General features: G+C 53.6%; 1 protein-coding gene and 1 long non-coding RNA gene across 20 annotated transcripts in view, besides 14 other annotated features; one reads left to right on the top strand and one right to left on the bottom strand.

Moving 5' to 3' along the window:
• The window catches only part of PFKFB3 (6-phosphofructo-2-kinase/fructose-2,6-biphosphatase 3), a 181,717-nt gene that overhangs the window by 52,473 nt on the left and 106,188 nt on the right, over nucleotides 1-23,056 (top strand). For 7 of the 19 annotated variants that reach the window (NM_001363545.2, NM_001314063.2, NM_004566.4 and 4 more), the window contains exons 1-7: nucleotides 5,539-5,943; nucleotides 16,230-16,355; nucleotides 17,828-17,924; nucleotides 18,732-18,798; nucleotides 19,313-19,387; nucleotides 19,742-19,798; nucleotides 22,176-22,300. In NM_001363545.2, the coding sequence (NP_001350474.1) occupies nucleotides 5,868-5,943; nucleotides 16,230-16,355; nucleotides 17,828-17,924; nucleotides 18,732-18,798; nucleotides 19,313-19,387; nucleotides 19,742-19,798; nucleotides 22,176-22,300 (623 nt within the window). In that variant the 5' untranslated portion in view covers nucleotides 5,539-5,867. Of the gene's footprint in view, nucleotides 1-5,538; nucleotides 5,944-16,229; nucleotides 16,356-17,827; nucleotides 17,925-18,731; nucleotides 18,799-19,312; nucleotides 19,388-19,741; nucleotides 19,799-21,155; nucleotides 21,179-22,125; nucleotides 22,301-23,056 lie in introns of those variants that run through there. The other 12 variants (XM_047425341.1, NM_001323016.2, NM_001145443.3 and 9 more) reach the window with 6 other exon arrangements.
• Nucleotides 212-5,364, bottom strand: PFKFB3-AS1 (PFKFB3 antisense RNA 1). Its single transcript, XR_007062045.1, has 2 exons — nucleotides 5,047-5,364; nucleotides 212-402 (listed from the first exon to the last, which is right to left on the bottom strand). It is a non-coding gene; the product is annotated as a PFKFB3 antisense RNA 1 (long non-coding RNA).
• Nucleotides 3,175-3,692: an enhancer, noted in NCBI's record as "H3K27ac-H3K4me1 hESC enhancer chr10:6242531-6243048 (GRCh37/hg19 assembly coordinates)". NCBI's record gives its function as "activates a minimal SCP1, AML or CMV promoter by ChIP-STARR-seq in primed H9 embryonic stem cells {active_cell/tissue: H9 hESC(primed)}" and the evidence as "EXISTENCE:reporter gene assay evidence [ECO:0000049][PMID:30033119]".
• Nucleotides 3,693-4,209: an enhancer, noted in NCBI's record as "H3K27ac-H3K4me1 hESC enhancer chr10:6243049-6243565 (GRCh37/hg19 assembly coordinates)". NCBI's record gives its function as "activates a minimal SCP1, AML or CMV promoter by ChIP-STARR-seq in naive and primed H9 embryonic stem cells {active_cell/tissue: H9 hESC(naive and primed)}" and the evidence as "EXISTENCE:reporter gene assay evidence [ECO:0000049][PMID:30033119]".
• Nucleotides 3,693-4,231: a biological region, named in NCBI's record as "H3K27ac-H3K4me1 hESC enhancer GRCh37_chr10:6243049-6243565".
• Nucleotides 4,012-4,231: a silencer, noted in NCBI's record as "silent region_2103". NCBI's record gives its function as "represses an Ori minimal core promoter by ATAC-STARR-seq in GM12878 lymphoblastoid cells {active_cell/tissue: GM12878}" and the evidence as "EXISTENCE:reporter gene assay evidence [ECO:0000049][PMID:35858748]".
• Nucleotides 4,764-5,268: an enhancer, noted in NCBI's record as "H3K4me1 hESC enhancer chr10:6244120-6244624 (GRCh37/hg19 assembly coordinates)". NCBI's record gives its function as "activates a minimal SCP1, AML or CMV promoter by ChIP-STARR-seq in primed H9 embryonic stem cells {active_cell/tissue: H9 hESC(primed)}" and the evidence as "EXISTENCE:reporter gene assay evidence [ECO:0000049][PMID:30033119]".
• Nucleotides 4,764-5,751: a biological region, named in NCBI's record as "H3K4me1 hESC enhancer GRCh37_chr10:6244120-6244624". NCBI's record gives its function as "regulatory_interactions: PFKFB3".
• Nucleotides 5,202-5,733: a transcriptional cis regulatory region, noted in NCBI's record as "chr10:6244558-6245089 region (GRCh37/hg19 assembly coordinates) targeted for CRISPR interference". NCBI's record gives its function as "positively regulates PFKFB3 gene expression in Jurkat T cells {active_cell/tissue: Jurkat}" and the evidence as "EXISTENCE:mutant phenotype evidence [ECO:0000015][PMID:33828297]".
• Nucleotides 5,262-5,591: a silencer, noted in NCBI's record as "silent region_2104". NCBI's record gives its function as "represses an Ori minimal core promoter by ATAC-STARR-seq in GM12878 lymphoblastoid cells {active_cell/tissue: GM12878}" and the evidence as "EXISTENCE:reporter gene assay evidence [ECO:0000049][PMID:35858748]".
• Nucleotides 5,642-5,751: a silencer, noted in NCBI's record as "silent region_2105". NCBI's record gives its function as "represses an Ori minimal core promoter by ATAC-STARR-seq in GM12878 lymphoblastoid cells {active_cell/tissue: GM12878}" and the evidence as "EXISTENCE:reporter gene assay evidence [ECO:0000049][PMID:35858748]".
• Nucleotides 5,872-6,381: a silencer, noted in NCBI's record as "silent region_2106". NCBI's record gives its function as "represses an Ori minimal core promoter by ATAC-STARR-seq in GM12878 lymphoblastoid cells {active_cell/tissue: GM12878}" and the evidence as "EXISTENCE:reporter gene assay evidence [ECO:0000049][PMID:35858748]".
• Nucleotides 6,612-6,691: a silencer, noted in NCBI's record as "silent region_2107". NCBI's record gives its function as "represses an Ori minimal core promoter by ATAC-STARR-seq in GM12878 lymphoblastoid cells {active_cell/tissue: GM12878}" and the evidence as "EXISTENCE:reporter gene assay evidence [ECO:0000049][PMID:35858748]".
• Nucleotides 7,008-7,510: an enhancer, noted in NCBI's record as "H3K4me1 hESC enhancer chr10:6246364-6246866 (GRCh37/hg19 assembly coordinates)". NCBI's record gives its function as "activates a minimal SCP1, AML or CMV promoter by ChIP-STARR-seq in naive H9 embryonic stem cells {active_cell/tissue: H9 hESC(naive)}" and the evidence as "EXISTENCE:reporter gene assay evidence [ECO:0000049][PMID:30033119]".
• Nucleotides 21,211-21,712: an enhancer, noted in NCBI's record as "H3K4me1 hESC enhancer chr10:6260567-6261068 (GRCh37/hg19 assembly coordinates)". NCBI's record gives its function as "activates a minimal SCP1, AML or CMV promoter by ChIP-STARR-seq in naive H9 embryonic stem cells {active_cell/tissue: H9 hESC(naive)}" and the evidence as "EXISTENCE:reporter gene assay evidence [ECO:0000049][PMID:30033119]".
• Nucleotides 21,713-22,212: an enhancer, noted in NCBI's record as "H3K4me1 hESC enhancer chr10:6261069-6261568 (GRCh37/hg19 assembly coordinates)". NCBI's record gives its function as "activates a minimal SCP1, AML or CMV promoter by ChIP-STARR-seq in naive H9 embryonic stem cells {active_cell/tissue: H9 hESC(naive)}" and the evidence as "EXISTENCE:reporter gene assay evidence [ECO:0000049][PMID:30033119]".

Genomic DNA, 23,056 nt, shown 5'->3' on the forward strand with positions numbered 1-23,056 from the left:
ACCATGTAACCTAGATGTGTAGTAGGCTCTGCCATCTAGGTTTGTGTAAGTTCACTCTGTGATGTTTGCACAATGACGGAATTGCTTAGTGATGCATTTCTCAGAACATATCCCCATCATTAGCCAACACATGACTGTATTTCTTTTCTTCTTCTTTTGCTTGACCAATAAATTAGGACATCTTAAAACTTTTGAGAAATACACAAAAAGCTCAAGCCATCCTCCACATCTTTTATTTTTTTTTTAAGGAAGATAAAACATATTCATTATTCCTTAAGTGGAAGTGAATCCTCATAAAGGTCTTCCTCTCTGTCGTCTTCATGTTGAGTAGACTGGGAAGGAGGAAGAGGGGGCTGGTCTTGCTGTCTCAGGGGTGGCAGAGGCAGGAGAAAGTAGGTGTACCTGTGTGATTCAAATGTGTTGTTCAAGGTCAACTGTATATGGTTGGCTCTCACGATCTAATATTTTACATAGGAATCTTATATCTCTGTCTGTCATAAATAAAATGAACTTAAAATTTCCTTTTCTTTTACTTTTTGTTTTACCAATCAAGGTTATGCTAGCCTCAGAAATGACTAGAGTTGCTTTTATTCTTTTCTATTTTCTGGAACAATTTACTTAGATAAATCATCTGAGGTCAGGAGTTCAAGACCAGACTGGCCAACATGGTGAAATGCTGTCTCTACTAAAGATACAAAAAAAATTAGCCAAGCATGGTGGCACAAGCCTGTAATACCAGTTACTCAGGAGGCTGAGGCAGGAGAATCGCTTGAACCTGAGAGGCGGAGGTGGCAGTAAGCCGAGATGGTACCACTGCACTCCAACCAGGGTGATAGCATGAGACTCCGTCTCAAAAAAAAAAAAAAAAGAAAAAGAAAAGAAAAGAAAAGGAAATGCCCACAGGAGATGGAGTGACAGGGTCGGGGCAGAGAGAAATGGAAACTTACTGGAGGGTTTGCCGGGACTTAAGTTGAGCAATTTGAGTCACTTCACCCAGAGCCAGGCTATGGCTGCTGTGTATTCTCCTCACATCCACTTAATGAGACACTAAGTCCACTAGATTGGAGAAAAATATATGATATTTGTAGAAAAATAATAATTTTTTTTGAGACAGAGTCTCGCTCTGTCACTCAGGCTGGAGTGCAGTGGCACAATCTTGGCTCACTGCAACCTCCACCTCCTGGGTTCAAGTGATTCTTGTGCCTCAGCCTCCCGAGTAGCTGGGATTACAGGTGTGTACCACCACACCCAGCTAATTTTTGTATTTTTAGTAAAGACGAGGTTTTGCCATGTTGGCCAGGCTGGTCTCGAACTCCTGACCTCAAGTGATCTGCCCGCCTTGGCCTCCCAAAGTACTGGGATTACAGGCGTGAGCCACCACACCTGGCCTCTCCATGTCTTTTCATGACTTGATAGCTCATTTCTCTTTAGAACGGCATCATATTCCATTGTTTGGATGTTCCATAGTTTATCCATTTACCTACCAAAGGACATCTTGGTTGTTTCCATATTTTAACAATTACCAATAAAGCTGGTATAAACATCTATGTGCATGTTATGAATTGGTTTTTCGAACCCCCAACATGACATTGTGTGGATAGTCTCAGTCTCTGTTCTCAATCATGTGTGAGTTACAAATAATTTATTGAAATAAGAGCCCCCTCCCCGTGTCTTTGGCTGGTGATGATGGAAGGGTTTGTTTCAGTGTTTTGTTTGGTGTCTCACTTCTCTCCCTCATACATGGGATTTTTCTCAAGAGCAAATAGTGACACTTGGTGTCTAATGAGCAACTTCTGATTGCTCCCAGACTACCATGCTTGTCACCTCACTCTCTCTGGGGCAGCGGGTAGGTCCTAGCTTGGTTTGAACGTTTTAACCTGGCTATGGCTGGCACAGGATCACGGAAATGCGGTTGCTTGTGTTTGTTGTTACAGCAGCATTTGGAAGCACTGGTAGGAGTTAGATGACATTGGCTGGCACAGAAGTGTGGGAACAAAGGTGATCCTGGAGAAAAACCACTCCACTGTCCTCTCAAGGCTGGACCGAGCTCAGTGAATTCAGCTATGTGAGCACCTCACCAGGCACTTGCTTTTTTTTTTTTCTTTTTTTGTGACAGGGTCTCACTCTGTCACCCAGGCTGGAGTGCAATGGTGCAATCACAGCTCACTGCAACCTCTGCCTCCTGGGCTCAGGTGATCCTCCCACCTCAGTCTCCAAAATAACTGGGACCACAGGTGCGAGCCACCATGCCCAGCTATTTTTAAATTTTTTTTTTTTTTTTTTTTTTTTTGCAGAGATGGGGTTTCATGTTGCCCAGGCTGGTCTCTTAACTCCTGAGCTCAAGCAATCCGTCCGCCTGAGCCACCCAAAGTGCTGGGATTACAGGTGCGAACCACTGCACTGGCCAGGATCATTTTCAATAATTGCCCTGCTAATGTCTCATTCTACTCACGGAAGGTCCTTCTCTGACCTTTCCTTCCCAAACAGCTCAATTGTTCTAGGTGAGTCTGAATCACAGCCTGATCAGCGGCTAAATTAGGATTCCACTCAGCACCCTGGGGTTAGGGTGGCCCTATAATGAGTCTCCTAGGGAGCTAGCTATCTGCGTCCGTGTCAAGCAGAAGGGAAAAACAAAAACAAACCAACAAAACCAACAAAAACCCCAGCAAACTCTGCTCCTAATTGGCTTTCTTCTTTGATCTCTGACCTGGTTCCTTGACTACTCTAATCTCAACTCCCTTTACTTCTTCCCATAAAGCAAGTGGGGTTGACTAGGTAGTCTTGAAGTTTCCTTCTATCTTTCATAGTTTCTAGGACCACGACCTAGGAGAAATCATCAATCTGCGCTAGCCTTGGTGTTATTGTAGCTGTAAAAGAATCATCGTATTAGAGGAACATTTACGTTATTGGGAGCGTTTTCTGAAGGGCCGCCTTTGTGATACCCAGGTTAGTAGGAGGGAAGTTGGCCAAGCCCTAGTTGGACATTTGGGGTGAAGATGGGGCATTAGCAGAGCTAGGGAATGAGTTAGGAGGATGTCCAAACTAGTAAACTCGGAACCAGTAAATTACCAGAATACAGTTGCAGTTGGGTTGTTTATAAGTGATTTTGTAGTGAAGCAGTTTCATCTCTCATGAGGGCTCTACCCTAACTTACCTGGGGCTGTAAAGGCTGCCAGGAGTTCTAGCTGGCCATTAAAAAAACAAAAACAGGTGTGCATTCGTCCTTGCTCCCACGCACTCCCAGTTTGCACTTAGATGTAAGGAGCGGGGGGGGGGGGGGGGCGGGGGGTGGTGGTGGGGCGGGGATTGAGTTAACTTCCTTTTGCCTGCTGCAGAGCAAGTGCAGGAGGCGAATGGGGGAAGAACATAGTCTTCCCTCTAGACTCGGAACGCGTTATTGACAGACAGGAAAAGTGCCCGGTCTGCGAAAGTTCAGCTGGACCTCCGGGACATCAACTCCCTGTGCCCTAAGAGCTGACCGCTGTCAGATGCGTTATCTAGGTCAAGAGATGAATGATGTGCCGCTGCTGGGGCAGACGCCGTCTCTCTGCTCTCCCTGTGAGCTGAAACCAGCAGTGTTTGCAAGCTTGTAGGGAGTGTGGAAGAAGGCCCCCTGGTCCGCTTGCCTCGCCTGTACGTGTGCAAAATCGGTGGGCAAGCAGCGGGCGCGCAGGTGCACCGTCATTCCCCAGGAACCGCGGGCGCTCTTTGCAGGGGTGCAGCCGCTCTCCCCGCGCGCAGCCTACAGCCCTCCCCGACCCCCGCGAACCCCAGGGCGGGAACTCGTCCCGGTGGCGCGGGCGCTCGCTGCCTGCTGTTTCCCTCTTCGGGTCAGCCCACTCTTATTTCAGGAGTGGAGTGGGACTCTCCCCTGGGCGTTTAGGGTGTCGCCTCTGGCATGTGCTCCCACTGCAGAAAACAAGTCCAAATGCAACGCATCGGGTTTCTGAACAGCCGCCAGAGCGCGGAAACCAGACCGTCAGCAAAGCTGTCGCGGGAACAGGGGCTCTGAGAGGGCGGCGCGGGGGGCGGGGTGCCGGAGTGGGGGTCGAGGCGGGAGGGGGAGTGGGGGTCGAGGCGTGGGGGAGGGTGGCGGGGCACAGGCCAGGTGGCCGATGTTGCGCGTTCCGGGGCCCCTCGGCAGGCGGCGGGTCGGGAGGAGTGGAGGCCCGGGTGGGGCGGGCGCGCGGGGCGGGAGCAGCCCCGGTCGCCGCCTGGGCGCGGGCGCCCTCCCTGTGGAGCATGCGGGACGTGAGCGACGTGTGGCAGCCTCTGCGCAGACTTTTCCGCCGCGGTGTAGGTTTCAGCGAGCGCCGCCTTCCCTCCAATCACAGCCCAGCCTCAGCGCTAAGTGTGCACCTCTCTGCAAGGCGGCGCAGCGCTCCCGTACTGAGGCTTCGTTTGCAAAAGTTACATCCGTCCCGGCGCGGGCGGCGGTTCCCCACCAAAAGCAACCCAGATCTTCCCCGCACGCCTCTGACCTGACTGCACGACTGTCACAAGTCGCGAGCTGGTGCAAACTGCGAGGGCCGGGAAAGGAGACGGGGCACGCATGCACCAAAAAGTGGGGAGGCAGAGCTGCAGGGTGTGCAGGATAACGGAGTGAATTTTAGGAGTCTGCCTAATAAGGGGCCGCCCCCAATAGTTTTCCCTCGACTTAGGTAATGAATTGCAGATCGAAATGGGTCTAGTTTTATTCATTCTTCTACTCGGGGCGATAAAGGTTTATTGAATGGTGTACATGGTGAGTGTGAAAACCAGATGCCAGCTGCCCCCAGCCCCAGTCCACTTCAGTCCAGCTCCCCGGGGCTTTCCCGCCCCCTCCTCGTACCCAGCACCGCGGGCCTCTCAAGGTTCCCAGTCTTTGGGCTAGGGGAGGGGAGCAAGGCTCAGTTCAAGTCCAGGTTTCTAAGGGATTCAGCAAAGTGGACAAGGACGAGGTGAGGTGGGAGGATCAGGGAAGCCTCCTCCCCGCGGGTCGCCCGGGTCGTGGCGGGGGATGGGCTCACGGGTATTATCAGGGAGCAGCCTGGCCCATGTCCTTACCTGGACTGCGCCTGCCCCACAGCGCGTGTTAGGAATGCAGAGTATTGGGGCTCCATGGCCCTAAAGGAGCTGCATTGGTAGGATGCACTTTAAGCAGCTTCCCAAGGGATTCGGCTGCGGGGTCCACGGTCTACACTGGGCAGGACTGCGTCTCTGCTCTCCTCCCGGCCAGCACAGTTGAGGTGAGGGGCCGGAATTAGTCGGGGAAGCTGTGCCAGACGTCCCGAGGGGACAACGGGACGAGGGGATAACAGCAGCCAGGACCCTTCAGCAGGGCTGGGCGCGCTCCAGGCCCGGGGCAGGGCGGCGGGAGCTGGTGCACCGCCGTCGCCGGCCCGCAGGGGGAGCTCGCAGGCTGCTTCCCGGCTCGCCCACCCTCCTCCCCACGTGGAAGGGGGCTGGGACCCAAGGAATGCGGCCCGCCCCGAGGCTGACGTACGCGTCTGCGGCCAGCCCGGACTCTTTAAAAGCCGGCGGTGCGCGGGGCATCCCAGCCAAGCCGGAGAGGAGGCGAGCAGCAGGGCCTGGTGGCGAGAGCGCGGCTGTCACTGCGCCCGAGCATCCCAGAGCTTTCCGAGCGGACGAGCCGGCCGTGCCGGGCATCCCCAGCCTCGCTACCCTCGCAGCACACGTCGAGCCCCGCACAGGCGAGGGTCCGGAACTTAGCCCAAAGCACGTTTCCCCTGGCAGCGCAGGAAACGCCCGGCCGCGCGCCGGCGCACGCCCCCCTCTCCTCCTTTGTTCCGGGGGTCGGCGGCCGCTCTCCTGCCAGCGTCGGGATCTCGGCCCCGGGAGGCGGGCCGTCGGGCGCAGCCGCGAAGATGCCGTTGGAACTGACGCAGAGCCGAGTGCAGAAGATCTGGGTGCCCGTGGACCACAGGCCCTCGTTGCCCAGATGTGAGTGCAGCTGCGCGGAGCCGGGTTGCAGGGCGGGCTGCGCCGGGCCGGGCCATTGTGTGGGGCGGCTTTGTGCCGACGCCCCTCTGCGGGGGGCGCGCCCGTGCGGGTCGCGCCGGCGGGGCGGGGCGGAGGCGCGGGCTGCGCGTCCTTGGCCGGGCGGCGGGGGCGCTGTGGCCCTTGTCCCGGTGGCTGCCCCGCCGGCCCGGAAACGGCGAGTGCGCCCGGCCGGGCTGCGTACCCCGAGACGGAGGGACGCGCGCGCCTGGGCAGGCCAGGGAGGGGATCCACATCCTCCGCGATCCCTGTCCTCGACACCCGTCTCGGGCGGCCGTCGCCGGAGCGCAGCCCAGGGACCCGGCCGCTCGCGCCTCCGCCCCTTTTCACCGTCCGGATCTCCTCTCTCTGCATGTTTCCATCTCCTCTCCCGCCTTGCTATGCATTCCTATCCCCTCGCTTCACTTAATAACCTATTTCTCTGTCCTGTTTTCTCTTTCGATATATATGTCTCTGTTTTTCTCTGTTTCTACCTCCTTCCTCTCCCACTGTTTCTTTCTGCTTTTATCTCTTTCTCTCTCCTTCTCTCTCTTCCGTGCATCTCCAGTGCCATGGGGGCGCCCGTGCTGGGGGCGCCAGGAGAGCCACCTGGAGCCACGCCTGTGTCCCCGGCTTTGGGGAGGGTCGGTGGGTTGGTGAGTGCACGGTTGGCGCTGCTCCACGCGCCCCGGGCGCACGCACCCCCCGGTGCTCGGAATTGGCTGGCAGTACCCTGCCCCGCCCCGCCGGTCGCCGCCCCCGCCACCAGCGATCGCTTGGGAGAGGGTTACCTCGAGCTCCACCTCAGCTGCGGAGCGCCGCCGCGGAAAAGGGCGGGTGGGCAGCGCAGAGGGGCGACGCTGCCTCTCCAGGTAATGCGCCCCGGCTCCCATGGGCTGGACAGGGAGCCGCCTGGTGCGGTTTTGCCCAGGTCAGGTCGTAGCCTGAGTAGTGACCGTGGGATCCAGGTGCAAACTCTCGAGGTGGCTTCGGGTCATCCGAAGGCGCCTGAGCGCAGGCGGCTGGCAGGCAGGGTTGCCCGGCTACTACGTTTCTTAGGACGGCCCCCGCGGGACTTGGCAGCTCTCCTGGAGCCCTGCTCGGTCTGAATCACCGGCCTCGTCCAGACCTGCCCCTCTCCCCACACCCACCCCCATGGTGTGCCCTGGGTGGGGACGTCAGCAGATCCACCCTGGTGGACTTCAGGGTTCTGGGGTAGCCCTCAGGAGAGGTCTTGTTCCCCCTCTTTGTGAGGTAGCCCAGGACTGGGGGATGTGGGTGTGTTGCCCAGCCCAGTCAGATGCGCTTGAACTGGGGTGGCCCATGGTTCTCTTGTCTTTGTGTAAAACCTGTAAGTGGAGTGGAATGCAGCTCTTAAATCCCCAGGGAGGTTTGGCCAAGGCCAAATGCAGAAACAACTTTTGCATAAAGCAAGTATTATCTCTATAGCACTTTGTAAACTGCATTGGAGGCTAGTCCCACATATGTAAATACATGTGATTGTATACGAATGCCCACGGGTCTGAGAGGAGTGTCCCGTGACTTCCAGGGCTCTGAGATCTGTTGGCATCAGCTCAGTTGTGATCTTGAGAACTCCAGCGTGCACCAAGGCGTCCTCCCTCCAGGCTTGGATCCTGATCCATTAGACCCCATCAACCTGCACGTCTCACACGCAGTGAGAGATTTGCCTAAGAATCCCTGTCAGAATCATTCAGAGCTGGAGGGTGGGAATTTGGCTAAAGCCAATGGATTAATTCTTTTGTCCCGCCTACTGCTGGTATCCTCCTGTGTGGCTTTGAGGTATAGTCTCAGACACATTCCTTCTTGTAAAAAGATCCGCAGCCTGGGTATCGCACATCCTTATTTCAAGTGGTGGTGTCTTTCTCAGTTTATATAGTCACATTTAACTCTTACTGGAATGGAGGGAAGAAGGTGTTTCTATTTGGTATCTTTCCTGACACCCTCCCTCGATTCTCTAATGGCATTTGGGACATTGGGTGGGTTTTTCTTTCTTCCTTTTTTTTTTTTTTTTTTTTTTGACATGGCGTTTCACTCTGTCACCGAGGCTGGAGTGCAGTGGTGCGATCTCGGCTCACTGCAACTTCTGCCTCCGGGTTTCAAGCGATTCTCGTGCCTCAGTCTCCCGAGAAGCTGGGATTACAGGCGCACGCCGCCATGCCCAGCTAATTTTCATATTTTTAGTAAAGACGGGGTTTCACCATGTTGGCCAGGCTGGTCTTGAACTCCTGACCTCAAGTGATCCGCCCACCTCAGCCTCCCAAAGTGCTGGGATTATAGGCATGAGCCACCACGCCCAGCTGGGTGGGTTTTCTTTCTCCTAAACTTGTTGCCACCTTTATAAGTGGCCTTCTCATTGGAGGTCTGCAGCAGAGTTCCCTGAGGTTTATTATTTATTTATTTATTTATTTATTTATTCATTTTTGAGGTGGAGTCTCACACTGTCACCCAGGCTGGAGGGCAGTGGTGCGACCATAGCTCACTGTAACCACCAACTCTTGGGCTCAAGTGATGCTCCCGCCTCAGCCTGTCCAGTAGCCGGGACTATAAGTGTGCACCACCACACCCGGCTAATTAAAAAAAATTTTTTTTTTTTTTTAATTGATCATTCTTGGGTGTTTCTCGCAGAGGGGGATTTGGCAGGGTCATAGGACAATAGTGGAGGGAAGGTCAGCAGATAAACAAGTGAACAAAGGTCTCTGGTTTTCCTAGGCAGAGTGTTTGTGTCCCTGGGTACTTGAGATTAGGGAGTGGTGATGACTCTCAACGAGCATGCTGCCTTCAAGCATCTGTTCAACAAAGCACATCTTGCACCGCCCTTAATCCATCCAACCCTGAGTGGACACAGCACATGTTTCAGAGAGCACAGGGTTGGGGGTAAGGTCATAGATCAACAGGATCCCAAGGCATAAGAATTTTTCTTAGTACAGAACAAAATGAAAAGTCTCCCATGTCTACTTCTTTCTACACAGACACAGCAACCATCCGATTTCTCAATCTTTCCCCGCCCCTTTCCCCCCTTTCTATTCCACAAAACCGCCATTGTCGTCATGGCCCGTTCTCAATGAGCTGTTGGGTACACCTCCCAGACGGGGTGGTGGCCGGGCAGAGGGGCTCCTCACTTCCCAGTAGGGGCGGCCGGGCAGAGGCGCCCCTCACCTCCCGGACGGGGCGGCTGGCCGGGCAGGGGCTGACCCCCCCACCTCCCTCCCGGACGGGGTGGCTGCCGGGCGGAGACGCTCCTCACATCCCAGATGGGGCGGCGGGGCAGAGACGCTCCCCACATCTCAGACGATGGGCGGCCGGGCAGAGATGCTCCTCACTGCCTAGATGGGATGGCGGCCAGGAAGAGGCGCTCCTCACTTTCCAGACTGGGCAGCCAGGCAGAGGGGGTCCTCACATCCCAGACGATGGGCGGCCGGGCAGAGACGCTCCTCACTTCCCAGACGGGGTGGCGGCCGGGCAGAGACGCTCCTCACTTTCCAGACTGGGCAGCCAGGCAGAGGGGCTCCTCACATCCCAGACGATGGGCGGCCAGGCAGAGACACTCCTCACTTTCCAGACTGGGCAGCCAGGCAGAGGGGCTCCTCACATCCCAGACGATGGGTGGCCAGGCAGAGACGCTCCTCACTTCCCAGATGGGGTGGCGGCCGGGCAGAGGCTGCAATCTCGGCACTTTGGGAGGCCAAGGCAGGCGGCTGGGAGGTGGAAGTTGTAGCGAGCCGAGATCACGCCACTGCACCCCAGCCTGGGCACCATTGAGCACTGAGTGAACGAGACTCCGTCTGCAATCCCGGCACCTCGGGAGGCCGAGGCTGGCGGATCACTCGCGGTTAGGAGCTGGAGACCAGCCCGGCCAACACAGCGAAACCCCGTCTCCACCAAAAAAATACGAAAACCAGTCAGGCGTGGCGGCGCCTCCTGCAATCGCAGGCACTCGGCAGGCTGAGGCAGGAGAATCAGGCAGGGAGGTTGCAGTGAGCCGAGATGGCAGCAGTACAGTCCAGCTTTGGCTCGGCATCAGAGGGAGACCGTGGGGAGAGGGAGAGGGAGAGGGAGCTGGAGCTTAAAAAAATTTTTTCATAGAGATGGGGTCTTGCTATGTTGCTCAGGCTGATCTCGAACTCCTGGCCTCAAGTGATCCTCCCACCTTGGCCTCCCAAAGTGCTGAGGTTACAGGCATGTGCTACCATTCCCAGCCTCCCTGAGGTTTATTGCTGAAGAGGGTGTCTAGGACCCTGCTTTTTATAGACAAAGAACAGTAAAACAACAAAACAAAAATTACTATATCAATAAGCTGCATTATATTCTTGCCTTGGAGGCACCTTAACGGGATGCCCTGTTGCTACATCAACATGATGGTAAATGCTTCTTACAAAACCTGTAGCTTCCTTCGCATGCATCCTGTAACTCCTGCTGACTTACTGAATTTGTGAGTCAGCATAATGGTCAAGAAGTACCTTTTTGACTGGCAAGGTCTAGCTTTCCTTTCTGTTCATCGTCACTAAAATTCAAGAGCCTGTGTGTTCTGAGGGATCCTGGGTACCGGGCTGAGTCCTAAGATGGTGCTTGGGACTTGGCATTACATCAGAAGTTGCCATGATCAGTGGAGCAAAGGAGGGGGTATTAGTACTGGTCAGGCCAGTGCAGGTTTGTAAGCAACAGGTAAAAGACAGCCTTTTAAAGCACCAAACTTTGTTTTTTGAGACAGGGTCTCACTGTCACCCAGGCTGGAGTGCAATGGTGCAATCACGTCTCATTGAAGCCTTGAACTCCTGGGCTCAAGCAATCCTGTCTCAGCCTCCTGAGTAGCTGGGACTAGGGGCATGTGCTACTGCGCCCAGCTAATTTTTAAAAATATTTTTGCACAAACGGGGTCTCTCTATGTTGCCCAAGCTGGTCTCGAATTCCTGGCCTCAAGCAATGCCCCCTTGGCCTCCCAAAGTGCTGGGATTACAGGTGTAAGCCAGGGTACCTGGCCTTTTTTTTTTTTTTTTTTTTTTGCCTCTTAAAAACAGTGGAATGAGACAAACTGCCAGCTTGTCTTTGCTCAGGATTTAGACACCATGGGAAATTGAGTCTGAAGAAAGGTTGATGTGGCACTCAAATACGGATAGAAAGACTTTCATCTCAGTAGCGAGTTACGCCGGCTGCTGGTGTTCTAGCTTAAGGAAGCTGGGTGGGTGATGTCCTAGAGAAATCCCTGCCTTATCCCTGGGTAGCCCCTACAGTTTATTTACTGGGGATGCATTCTGTGTTAGGGTTTGAGTCAGTGGGGGATACAGGCTGTGCGGGCTGCTGCCTGTCTGTCTGTGCATTGCACACCATCAGAGAGGTTAGTAACTTAATCTATCCGGGAGAGCAGGAGTAGGAACCCGGGGGTGCCAGCCTCTCACTGTCCAGGTGGGGGATTCACCATCCATCTGGCTGCTGCTTTCCATAACTGGCTCCTTGTGTCACTGTATCCCACGGCTGAGTGTTCACCAGCCAGCCTTCAGTTTTCTTTTGGCTTCCTGTGTATGTTTGCCTGCAGGGAACGGGCCCCAGTAGGCAGTCTCCGTTGTACACTAATGGTACTGCGGGCTTGTAGACAGCCAGGGCTTAGCCCAAAGGCACTACTCAGCCACATTGACCCTGTATCCCCCAAGTAGCCTCTGTCTCACGGGTACCCAGTGCATGTACCTGGTGCATGTGCCCAGTGAGCGAGCGTGTCATGAACGTAGCAACCTTGCAGAATTGAAGTTCCGTGCCTGGGACTTGGTGACTTTCTGGGAGGACTTACCCACGTGGCCATGGTTGTAACCATGACAACACTTTGAGCTCGAGTCCCCCAGATTCAATTCGGGTGTTTAGTCTGTTACCCAGGGTCTTTACACAGTTGTTCCTTCCCCTGTAACCCGGTGACATCTGTGTTCCCCCAGGCATGTTTCAGTTGACCTCTAAAGTCCACATCTAAACACATTTAAGTTTCACAACTTTCAAAAACTTTAGGTGTGTGAAAAAGAAGTTAAAATATTGAACATTTACATAAAATGAAATGAGACACAAATACTCTTTGGAAAATCTTGTGTTAAACTCAATAATTTTTTTTTTGTTTTTTTGAGACAGAGTTTTGCTCTGTTTCCCAGGCTGGAGTGCATTGGTACAATCTCGGCTCACTGCAACCTCTGCCTCCCAGGTTCAAGCGATTCTCCTACCTCAGCAGATGGGATTACAGGTGCCTGCTACCACGCCTGGCTAATTTTTGTATTTTTAGTATAGACGGGGTTTTGCCATGTTGACCAGGCTGGTTTCGAACTCCTGACCTCAGGTGGTCTGCCCTCCTCTGCTGCCCAAAGTGCTGGGAGACCATGCCCAGCCAATACTTACCTTTTCTTTTTTTTTTTTTTTTTGAGACGGTGTCTCACTCTGTCACCCAGACTGGAGTGCAGTGGCGTGACCTTGGCTCACTGCAAGCTGCGCCTCCCAGGTTCACGCCATTCTCCTGGCTTAGCCTCCTGAGTAGCTGGGACTACAGGCGCCTGCCATCACGCCTGGCTAATGTTTTGTATTTTTAATAGAGATGGGGTTTCGCTGTGGTCTCGATCTCCTGACCTTGTGATCCGCCCGCCTCGGCCTCCCAAAGTGCTGGGATTACAGGCGTGAGCCACCGTGCCCGGCCTAATACTTATCTTTTCTAATCACTGTGCCTTGCCAGGGAGGGTGATGAGGCGGGTGGGGGGTGTCTCTTTTTTGGTGGTAAAAAGGCCCATTGAGAAGAGAAGAAGAAACTGAGGGTCACAGAATTAGAAACATGAGATGTGCTGTGAGTTTTTAAAAGGGGCTGAGGTTGGAGAATAAGACAAAAAGATTTAGTAAGGATTTGTGATTACCCCATCTGTCCAAGACAGTGGTGGGTGTCTGAAGGGAGGGACAGGTGCAAACACCTCAGGCGCCCCTCTCTTTGTTTTTTTTTGTTTTTTTTTGTTTTTTTGTTTTTTTTTTTTTTGAGACGAAGTTTCGCTCTGTCACCCAGGCTGGAGTGCAGTGGCGCTATCTCGGCTCACTGCAAGCTCCGCCTCCCGGGTTCACGCCATTCTCCTGCCTCAGCCTCCCGAGTAGCTGGGACTACAGGCGCCCGCCAACATGGCCGGCTAATTTTTTGTGTTTTTAATAGACGGGGTTTCGCCATGTTAGCCAGGATAGTCTTGATAGTGTTTTTAATAGACGGGGTTTCGCCATGTTAGCCAGGATAGTCTTGATAGTGTTTTTAATAGACGGGGTTTCGCCATGTTAGCCAGGATAGTCTTGATAGTGTTTTTAATAGACGGGGTTTCGCCATGTTAGCCAGGATAGTCTTGATAGTGTTTTTAATAGACGGGGTTTCGCCATGTTAGCCAGGATAGTCTTGATAGTGTTTTTAATAGACGGGGTTTCGCCATGTTAGCCAGGATAGTCTTGATAGTGTTTTTAATAGACGGGGTTTCGCCATGTTAGCCAGGATAGTCTTGATAGTGTTTTTAATAGACGGGGTTTCGCCGTGTTAGCCAGGATAGTCTTGATCTCCTGACCTCATGATCCACCCGCCTCGGCCTCCCAGAGGGCTGGGATTACAGGCGTGAGCCACCGTGCCCGGTGCGCCCCTCTCTTGTTCTGCAGTCAAATGCTCTACCCCTGAGCTATATCCCCAGTTATAGCGCCCCTCTCTTTGAATCTTACTATGCGACAGAGCAGTGCATAGGGAGAATGGCTCTGCTTTGCCAAGAAGGGACTGGCAGTTTATTTGGGTTTGAAATCCAGTCTGACCTTTTGCCCTGTGTATTTACTCTGCTGTCTTTATTGTTGTTATTGTTATTTTCCCTCCCTAAATGTCTACTGCCAGAGGACATTTGTTCCTATGATTAGTGGGTAGACATAATCCCCTGTTGGATAAATCAATCAGCCTCTGCTTCCTTGGCGTGGTTCCGACAGAAATATTCTGCGTATGTGCACAGCTGAGAGTATGTGTGTGCGTCTGTCTCTGCATATCTGGGTGCTCTTAGGAGCAGCGGTGCAGTGGGGACACCTGGTAAGACCAGGAGGGACCCTTGGCCTAGGGGAAGGGTCAGTGGATGGGTATTGTTTCCAAGGAGTTGCTGCTACTTTCCTGATATGGCAGCTACAGCTGCCAGAATGACCCTGGGCACGGTGGGGTGTGCCTCACTGGCTTTCGGGGAGGCCACCATCTCTCCGTGTGCCCCTGGGGACACAAGAAAGCCCCTGGGTGCTTGGTGCTTTGTGCTTGTTTGTTCCACTCATGTGCTCAGGATGCCCGGCTCACCCTGGGCAGTGAAAAGCATCTGTTTTCGAGGAACTGTTTGTTCTAGGTCACTGGACATCAAGAGCATGGCAGCCCAGGGCTTTTAGCGTCTCCTCATCTGCTGATAGCCTGTCTGTCTCCTTACTCTGCCTGCTGAGAAGGCCACTAATGGTCTCCAAATAGCATGGAGGGGACAAAGGCCCGGCATGCCATGCCTGCTTCCCTGCCCCCACCTCCAGGCCTAGCGGCAGATCCTGGACATTGACTTCAGTTTGGAGCCCTGCTGGGGGCTCCGGCTTACAGAGGGGCTTCTTTCCTGAGCTGCGGCCCGTCTGAGGGGTGGTGGCTCCCGCAGCATAAGCCTGCTCAGCTCGGACATCAGGGCCTCTGTCCAGTCTGACATCTGCCTGGTTCTGTGTGCGGCTTTCAGAGGTTTTCCTGCAGGCCATGTGGGCTGTGTCTGGGAATGATGAGGACAGCCAGGCTAACCACGTGGCAGTGAGTGCTGGGCCGTGCCGCCCAGGCGGGAGCTGGCGGGTATCATCTGGCCCTGGAGCTTGCATGTCGGCAGGATGCGGGAGTTGCCTGAGACTCCCAGGGCCAGGCGACAGCCGGGGAGATACTGGGCCCTCGGCTCCCAGAACAGGGGGCTTCTGGCTGCTTTCTGAAAAACCCAGCAAAACCCCCCTTCCTGCTGTTTTGTCTTACTGAGATGCCAAGACCGTCATGTAGCAGCGGAAGCCAGGAGGGAGCTGGCAGGCAAGAGCATCTCCAGGTTTCCTGGAGACAGTGGTGGAGCCGGCCCCTGGCTGAGGCTTCGTGACCGGCCCTTCCCTCGGCAGGGCCCCAGCATTCATCCGAGCCTGGCACCAGAAGAGGGGGTCAGACAGGGCGTGAGAGGCTCGGGTGGAGGATTTACCTGTCCACTGGGGTAATTTTAGCATTCTGCCTCCCTGACCTACTTTCATTTGATAAACTCTTTTCTTCTAATTATTTTTTAATTTATTTGTTTGTAGAGGCAGGGCCTTGCTATGTTGCCCAGGCTGGTCTCAAACTCATGGTCTCAAGTGATCCTCTTGCCTCGGCCTCCCAAAGGGCTGGGATCACAGGCATGAACCACCGCGCCTGGCTGTAAACTCCTACTTTTAAAAATTGCCTTTTTAAAGATTTTTTTTAGAAACTCTGCCCATACCTCTGTGTGGAGGTTTGGATATTGATGGTGGGCCTCTCTGTCTCTTGACCCCTGGGCCCCAGCCCCTGCCCCTCTGTCCCCATGTTGTATTGGAATCCACCCTCTTGACTCTTAGCCCCACTCTCCCTCGGGAGAGGAATCCTTTCCTCCCACCCGCAGGAGCATTTCCACTTTCACTGTGGTGTCAGTCACTGGTTCCCTGCTAGGTTTAGCGCCCTGGGTATCAGCTCAGGAATTTGGGGTTGGGACTGTCTTTGCCAAGTAGAACCTAAAGGCAGGACTGAGGGACAGGGTGTGGCTGGGGGGCTGTGGCCACTAGGGTTGCCTGGTCCCACTGTGGTACAATGCCAGGGGCTTCAGGATGGGGAGATGAAATGAAAATTTCGATGAATGCTGGGTGTGGTAGCTATGCCTGTAATCCCAGCACTCTGGGAGGATTGTTTGAGACCAGGACTTCGAGACCAGCCTGGGCAACACAGCGAGACCCCATCTCTACAAAGATAAAAAATTAGCCAGGGATGGTGGTGTACACACTTGTAGTCCCAGCTATTGGGGAGGCTAAGGCCGGAGGATTGTTTAAGTCTAGAGGTTTGAGGCTGCAGTAATCATGGTGGCCACCGTGCTCCCGCCTGGGCAACAGAGTGAGACCCTGTCTCAAAAACATTTTTGGTGAAATTCTTCAGTGTTATTGTTGGGTGTGGCCTCTGCTCCTCTTCTCCGGTCACTTGGTTGATGACACACCCTTCTTGCTTGTTTTTCCAGCCTGTGGGCCAAAGCTGACCAACTCCCCCACCGTCATCGTCATGGTGGGCCTCCCCGCCCGGGGCAAGACCTACATCTCCAAGAAGCTGACTCGCTACCTCAACTGGATTGGCGTCCCCACAAAAGGTGAGACTGGGTCTCGAGGCCGGACCCCTGCTCGTGCAAAAACTTGACCTTCCATCTCAGTTGCTGGTTTCACAGGCAGGACCACCCCTGGGCGCCTCTGTCCCCTGGTCGGGGAGTCTGATCCTGCCTCCCATGCAGCTGGGTCCCCTTCACACTGTGTCTACACCCTTTTTCTTCTGTTGGGGTTTTCTCCTCACTGGCCATTCTCTTTCCCACTCCTCTAAGTCCTGCCCCGACTCAGATTTCACCTCCTTCAAAGCCATCTCCAGCCACCTCAGTCCTTTACATTCCTGTCGCACTCAGTCCTAGCTAACATTCCTCTGCTGATAGCCCTAAGCACTGCCTACCGTAGATCAAGGGTCTTCAACCCCCAGGCTGTGGACTGCTATGTTGGGTGGCCTGTTAGGAACCTGGCTGCAGGAGGTGAGTGGCAGTGAGTGCGCATTCCTGCCTGAGCTCCGCCTCCAGTCTGATCAGTGGTGGCATTAGATTCCCATGGGAGTGAACCCTATTGTGAACTGGGCATGTGATGGATCTAGGTTGTGTGCTCCTTATGATAATCTAATGCCTGATGATCTGAGGTGGAACAGTTTCATCCCAAAGCCGTACACCCACAACCCCTCCCTGTCCGTGGCAAAATTGTCTTCCACGAAAGTGGTCCCTGGTGCCAAAAAGGATGGGGACTGCTGTTGTGGATGACACATTTAAGAATCTCTGCTTGGTCTTCCCAACTAGATGGGGAACATCTTGTGGATAGGCACTGGGTATTTTTTTTTTTTCAATTAATTTTATTTTAGATTCGGGTACATGTGCATGTTTGTTACCTGAGTATATTGCATATTGATTGGGGATTGGGCTTCTAGTGAACCTGTTACCCAGATAGTGAACATTGTACCCAACTGGTTATTTTTTAACCCTTGCTCATCTCCCACCCTCCCCTCTTTTGAAAGGATGGTTTTTATGTTTACCATCCCCGCTGTGCCCAGCTCAGTGCCCAGGAACCATGGGACACATGTCTCCGGCCCTGGCCCTGGCGGCTGCACCAGCAGAAGGGTTGACCTAGATCTGGCGGTGGGCATGAGGCCCCACTCGCTTTCTGATACCATTGGTGGAAATGTGTTGTCCCTATTTTTGCTAGACTTGGGGCCTCCCCCCACCCATCCTCACAGTCTCAGTCTCTGGTTTAGGATATTGTGGGACTGAGATTGTAGACTTGGCTGGAGGGGACAGTGTCGCAGAGCATGCGGCAGGGGCATTGCAGCTGGACTGGGGAAGCCGGGCAGCCTGTGCCCTGCTGTCCTCAGGAGTTGAGGGTAGCGTAGGACTGGGCGCCGGCATTGCTTCCACACCATCTCATTCAAGTCGGTGTGGTTGGCCTGGTGGCTCTTCCTTTGGTCGATCCTATGGTCCCGGTGTGAGCTGGCCCCTTCCTCCTGCTCGATCATCCAGACTGTTCTCTTTCCCGTCCACAGTGTTCAACGTCGGGGAGTATCGCCGGGAGGCTGTGAAGCAGTACAGCTCCTACAACTTCTTCCGCCCCGACAATGAGGAAGCCATGAAAGTCCGGAAGTAAGGCTGGGCCGCGGGCGTAGGGCTGGGCTGTGGGAATAAGGCTGGGCCGCGGGCATAAGGCTGGGCTGCAGGAGTAAGGCTGGGCCGCGGGCGTAGGGCTGGGCTGTGGGAATAAGGCTGGGCTGCGGGGCTGCGGGTGTAAGGCTGGGCTGCGGGCTTGGGCTTGCTTTGTTCTGAGCCAGGCTCTGTAGGAGGCAGAGAAAGCCGGCCTGCGGGTGGGTCCTGCTGGTGGCTTCAGGGCTGTGCAGTGTGGGAACAAGGTTGCTGCTCTCATCTGTCCCCTGAGGGTCTCGCTGAGCTGACCCTCACTGGGACAGAGCCGCAGAAGCACCCTCACTGAGAATTAGCAAGTCCTGTTCATCGGGAGTGTCTGTTTATGTTTGGAAAGGATTTCTTGTTAAGTGCGAGTTGATTGTGAAACCCTAGTGCAAGGGTGTTCAGCCCCGGCTGTATGCTGGAGTCTCCTGGGGGATGCTAAAATCCCTGATGCCAGGCCCCACCCCAGACCAGTTAGTGCAACTCTGTGGGTGGCTCTGGGCAGCCATTTCTTAGCAGCTCCCCAGGAGTGGTTCCCGCGTGCAGCCCGGTTTGAGCACCGCCTCCCGAGGGTTCCTGAGGCCACCCGTGTGGGGCCCCAGGTTGGAAGCCTCTGGGCCTGAGGGGTGCTGGCCAGCCTGCCCAGCGCTAAGCAGTGTAGAATGGAACCACCAGTTACTCTGCTTGTCGGGGCGTGTCGGGAGTTGCTTGGGCTGCCCCAGCGGATGCACCGGCGCTGACATTCGGGCAATGTCTTGTGCATTCCAGGCAATGTGCCTTAGCTGCCTTGAGAGATGTCAAAAGCTACCTGGCGAAAGAAGGGGGACAAATTGCGGTAAGTCCAGGCAATGTAGCCGGCTCGGTGTCCAGTCCCACCCATGAGGGTGTCCTCACCGGCCTGGGGTGTACCGAGACCTGTGCCTCTGGCCCTGAGGGTGGAGGAAAGCAGGTGGCCAGGGCAGCCCAATGGCTCAGGAAGGAGGATGTGGGGTGGACTCAGGGACCCACCCCCTCTGTGGCCAGTCCCACACCTCCAGGGCGGGCAGGACTCGAGTTACCCACAGGACCACTGGCCCTTCCTTGTACACTGTCCCATTGCACATTACTGTTTTGCTTGTTTGCTTTTGGGGTATTTCCCCCACGCTACCACCCCTGAGTGCTGTTGGTAGTTGCGGGAGGCCTGCCTCCTAAGCACTCCCTGGAGAGGACTGTGGGCAGGCACAAGCTCCCCTGAAGCACTTTTGGGGCTTATTCCTGGAGATGATGGGTCTGGCATCTTTGCTGTTCTGGTAAACGTTGTTAAACTCAAACTTAGAGTTTTCTTCCTGGCCCTTTGCTCTCCATATCAGGTTTTCGATGCCACCAATACTACTAGAGAGAGGAGACACATGATCCTTCATTTTGCCAAAGAAAATGACTTTAAGGTGAGCTGAGCGTCTTGTGTTGTGCTAGAGGGCTCGGGAGAGAGGAAAAGGCTTCAGGAAGCGGCCTGAGTCCTGCTTGGTCCTTCCCCTCCTGCTGCCCATGTTCCTTAGTCCTGCTCGGTCCCTCCCCTCCTGCTGCCCACGTTTTGTGGCCTTAAATTTGGGCCTTTGTGTGGTAGGGCTCTTGGGGGCCATGGGGCGTTCCAGAGGCTGCAGTGAGGAGGTGGGCTTTCCTGTGTTTGGGAGTTGGTGGGTGGCGTGCTTCCGCCTTGTCCGGGTGATGACATCGCAGTGATGGCAAGGTTGATCCTTCGTGGTGTTTGTTTTCTAACATCCCCACCTCACTTCCACCAGGCGTTTTTCATCGAGTCGGTGTGCGACGACCCTACAGTTGTGGCCTCCAATATCATGGTAAGACAGCCGGGAGCCCCGTGCTTCTGCGGCAGCGTAGACCACAAGGGCATTTGCAGTCTGAGGAAGTGGGGGACCGGGTCCGGCTCGGAAGCGCAGCTGAGCCCTTAGGATGAGCAGCCCCCAGCTGGCTGTTGATTGGGAGGTCAGACCTACAGAGCGGTTTTTAACCCAGAGGCCTGTCCTGTGAGGGACTAGCTCCATCCAGGGCAGTGGGCAGGCTTGGATGGGACGTAGGAAATAATTCAGGGAGATAGGATTAGTTTCTGTTGGTGGCAGGAGCCTGACAGCTAGTGGTGATGGAGCTGCTGGGGCAGAGGGCCGCTCACTGCCCCTAATGGGACAGGTGGCAGCAAGTGGATCACTTGCTACAGCTCCAGGAGGTAAGAATGCTTGGGCATTGGCAAAAGTCCATAGGGCTCAGCAGCCTCCTGAGTTTGGGAGGTAAGACTCTCCTCCTGCTGATGCATCTCGTGAACCTGCCACAAACCCTCCTGTCTGTGCTGTGCAGGGGAGCTTGCCCAGATAAATTGAGGGCACTTGGCATCATAACTTGATGAATTTCTCCAGTGTTACCACTTGATAGCAATATATATAAACAGGAATGGTTACTATGGAGACTTACTACAAGCTGCCACCCTGTGTTGGAGATAATTTCCTCTTCAGCTTAAACATATCAGAATATGACAATTCTATAAAGAAAAGCAGTTCTGAAAACTTAACACTGGGACGCTGTGGTGCTGGCATCTTTGCACCTTTAGAGGGGATGCTAAGCATGTGTTAGCCCCGGTATCTTCCCCAAGGTGGTGGAAGTATTTCTAGATATCTTTAGGAAATGAATTCCTGTTTCAGGAAGGGCTATTTGAATTGTGAAAAGTCAGTTTAGATTTGTCCAGTGGGAGCAGGAGGCTCAGAGTATGAGGGTTTGCCACCTTTCTTTGGCTGGGCACTCGTTGTTCCCCTTGGTAGACAGCAGGGTGCAGCTGTGAAGTCATTTTTCCCAGTGAGTGGTCACCAATGTGCTTAGCAAGGAGTTTAGCATTTGTCTGGTTGTCCACTAGCAGATAATCATTTGCCCCAACCCACCATGTTCAGAAATCTCTTTCTGATGAAATCTCAAAGCAGCTTGGTAGAGCCAGGCATTTGTGAACTTAGATTTTTTTTTTAAATTGTGGTAAAATATACATAATGTAAAATTTACCATCTTAATCATTTTTATTATTTATTTATTTATTTATTTATTTATTTATTTATTGAAACGGACTCTCCTTCTGTTGCCCAGGCTGGAATGCAGTGACACGGTCTTGGCTCACTGCAACCTCTGCCTCCCGGGTTCAAGCGATTCTCCTGCCTCAGCCTCCCGAATAGCTGGGATTACAGGTGTGCGCCACCACGCCCAGCTAATTTTTTTTGTATTTTTAGAGGAGACGGGGGTTTCACTGTGTTGGCCAGGCTGGTCTCAAACTCCTGACCTCAAGTGATCTGCTTGCCTTGGCCTCCCAAAGTGCTGGGATTACAGGCGTGAGCCACTGCATCCGGCCATTTTAGCTATTTTTTAAGTGTGCAGTACAGCAGCAAATTATATTCCCATTGTTGGGCAACCGCCACACTCTATCCGCAGGACTTTCTCATCTTCCCCGGCTGAAACTGTGCCAGGACACAGGCACAGCTCCCGACTGACTCGATCTTTGAAGAGTGGCTGCCTCTCAGTGACGGCAGTGGTTGATGAGAAAAAGAGCCCAGGCATTCAGAAATGCTGAGTTTCCCTAAAATCCACCTGGTTTCTGGGGCCTGTGCCACTGTGGGTGTTGGTAGACCTGTGTTGTTGCCTAGGAGAGCGAGCCCTGCAAAGGAGCCGGCACAGCCCTAGTTGGAGAAGCAGTTAACCACGGACTGGTCACACTGGGGCTGCCTCAGGCAGTGGGGGGTGGAGGAGAAACCACACAAGGCCAGAGGCATCTCTGGGAACTCCTGAGCATACCTTAGAACCAGCAGCCTCCTCCCGGCACGGGGAGCATTGCGGATCCTCACGTGGAGCTCGGTTGAGTTCAGCGCCAGGCTGTCTGGCGGTGACTCGGGCACGGGACAGATCCTGACTTGCTGGAGCATTCAGAGGTGTTCATTATGGAATCCCTGTGGGTTTCCTGTCTCTGTCCTTCCGGCTTCAGTTCTCCATCTCCCCAGGGAATCCTCCCCATGTAACATCAGGCTGTGACTCAGCCCCCAGCATCTTTCTCCCTTTCTCTTACACGCTGGGCCGGATAATCTTTATACTGAGCCTTCTGTGCGCTCCCCTTTTGAAAGCCCCAAATCCTGCTTAATCTCAGCAGAAAGCCTTCCAGCGTGATTTATCAGCCACCCCTTTGTGGTGTTGCAGGAAGTTAAAATCTCCAGCCCGGATTACAAAGACTGCAACTCGGCAGAAGCCATGGACGACTTCATGAAGAGGATCAGTTGCTATGAAGCCAGCTACCAGCCCCTCGACCCCGACAAATGCGACAGGTGATTCCCGTGGCTGGCCGTCTCTGCAAGACCCACATGAGGGTTCTTACTGAATTCTTGATGTTCCCACAAAGGATTTGCTCCTGGATACCTTTAAAAAAATTTTTTTAAGACAGTTTTTTTTGTAGAGATGAGGTCTCGCTATGTTGCCCGGGCTGGTCTTGAGCTCCTGGCCTCAGGTGATCCACATACAGCCGCTGGATACCTTTATCAACTCTCTTTGAAAATATCTTTTAAAAACAATCCTTGATGACAAATCATATTCAGTGGGAATATTTTGAACACTGTGTAGAAGTACAGGAAGTCAACATAGAGTTGAGCCTGATTTTGCTACTGTCCCTCCGATAGTTCCTTTCTTTTTTCTTTCCTTTCTTTCCATTTATTTATTTATTTATTTACTTACTTACTTGCTTGCCTGCTTGCTTAGAGACAGGGTCTCCCTTTGTCTCCCAGGCTAGAGTGCAGTGGCATGATCATAGCTCACTGCAGGTTCAAACTTCTGGGCTCAAGTAATCCTACCGCCTCAGCCTCATGAGTAACTGGGACTACAGGTGTGGGTGTCCACGCCCAGCTAATTTTTTTTTTCTTTAGTAGAGATGAGGTCTTGCTATGTTGCCCAGGCTGGTCTTGAACTTCTAGACTCAAGCAATCCTCTTGCCTCGGCCTCCCAAAGTGCTGGGATTACAGGCATGAGCCACTGCACAGGCCCCTTTCTTTTTTTCTCCATTTTCTTTCTTTTTTCTCCCCCTTTTCTGG

Source organism: Homo sapiens, chromosome 10, assembly GCF_000001405.40.
Source record: "Homo sapiens chromosome 10, GRCh38.p14 Primary Assembly".
NCBI classification, from domain to species: domain Eukaryota; kingdom Metazoa; phylum Chordata; class Mammalia; order Primates; family Hominidae; genus Homo; species Homo sapiens.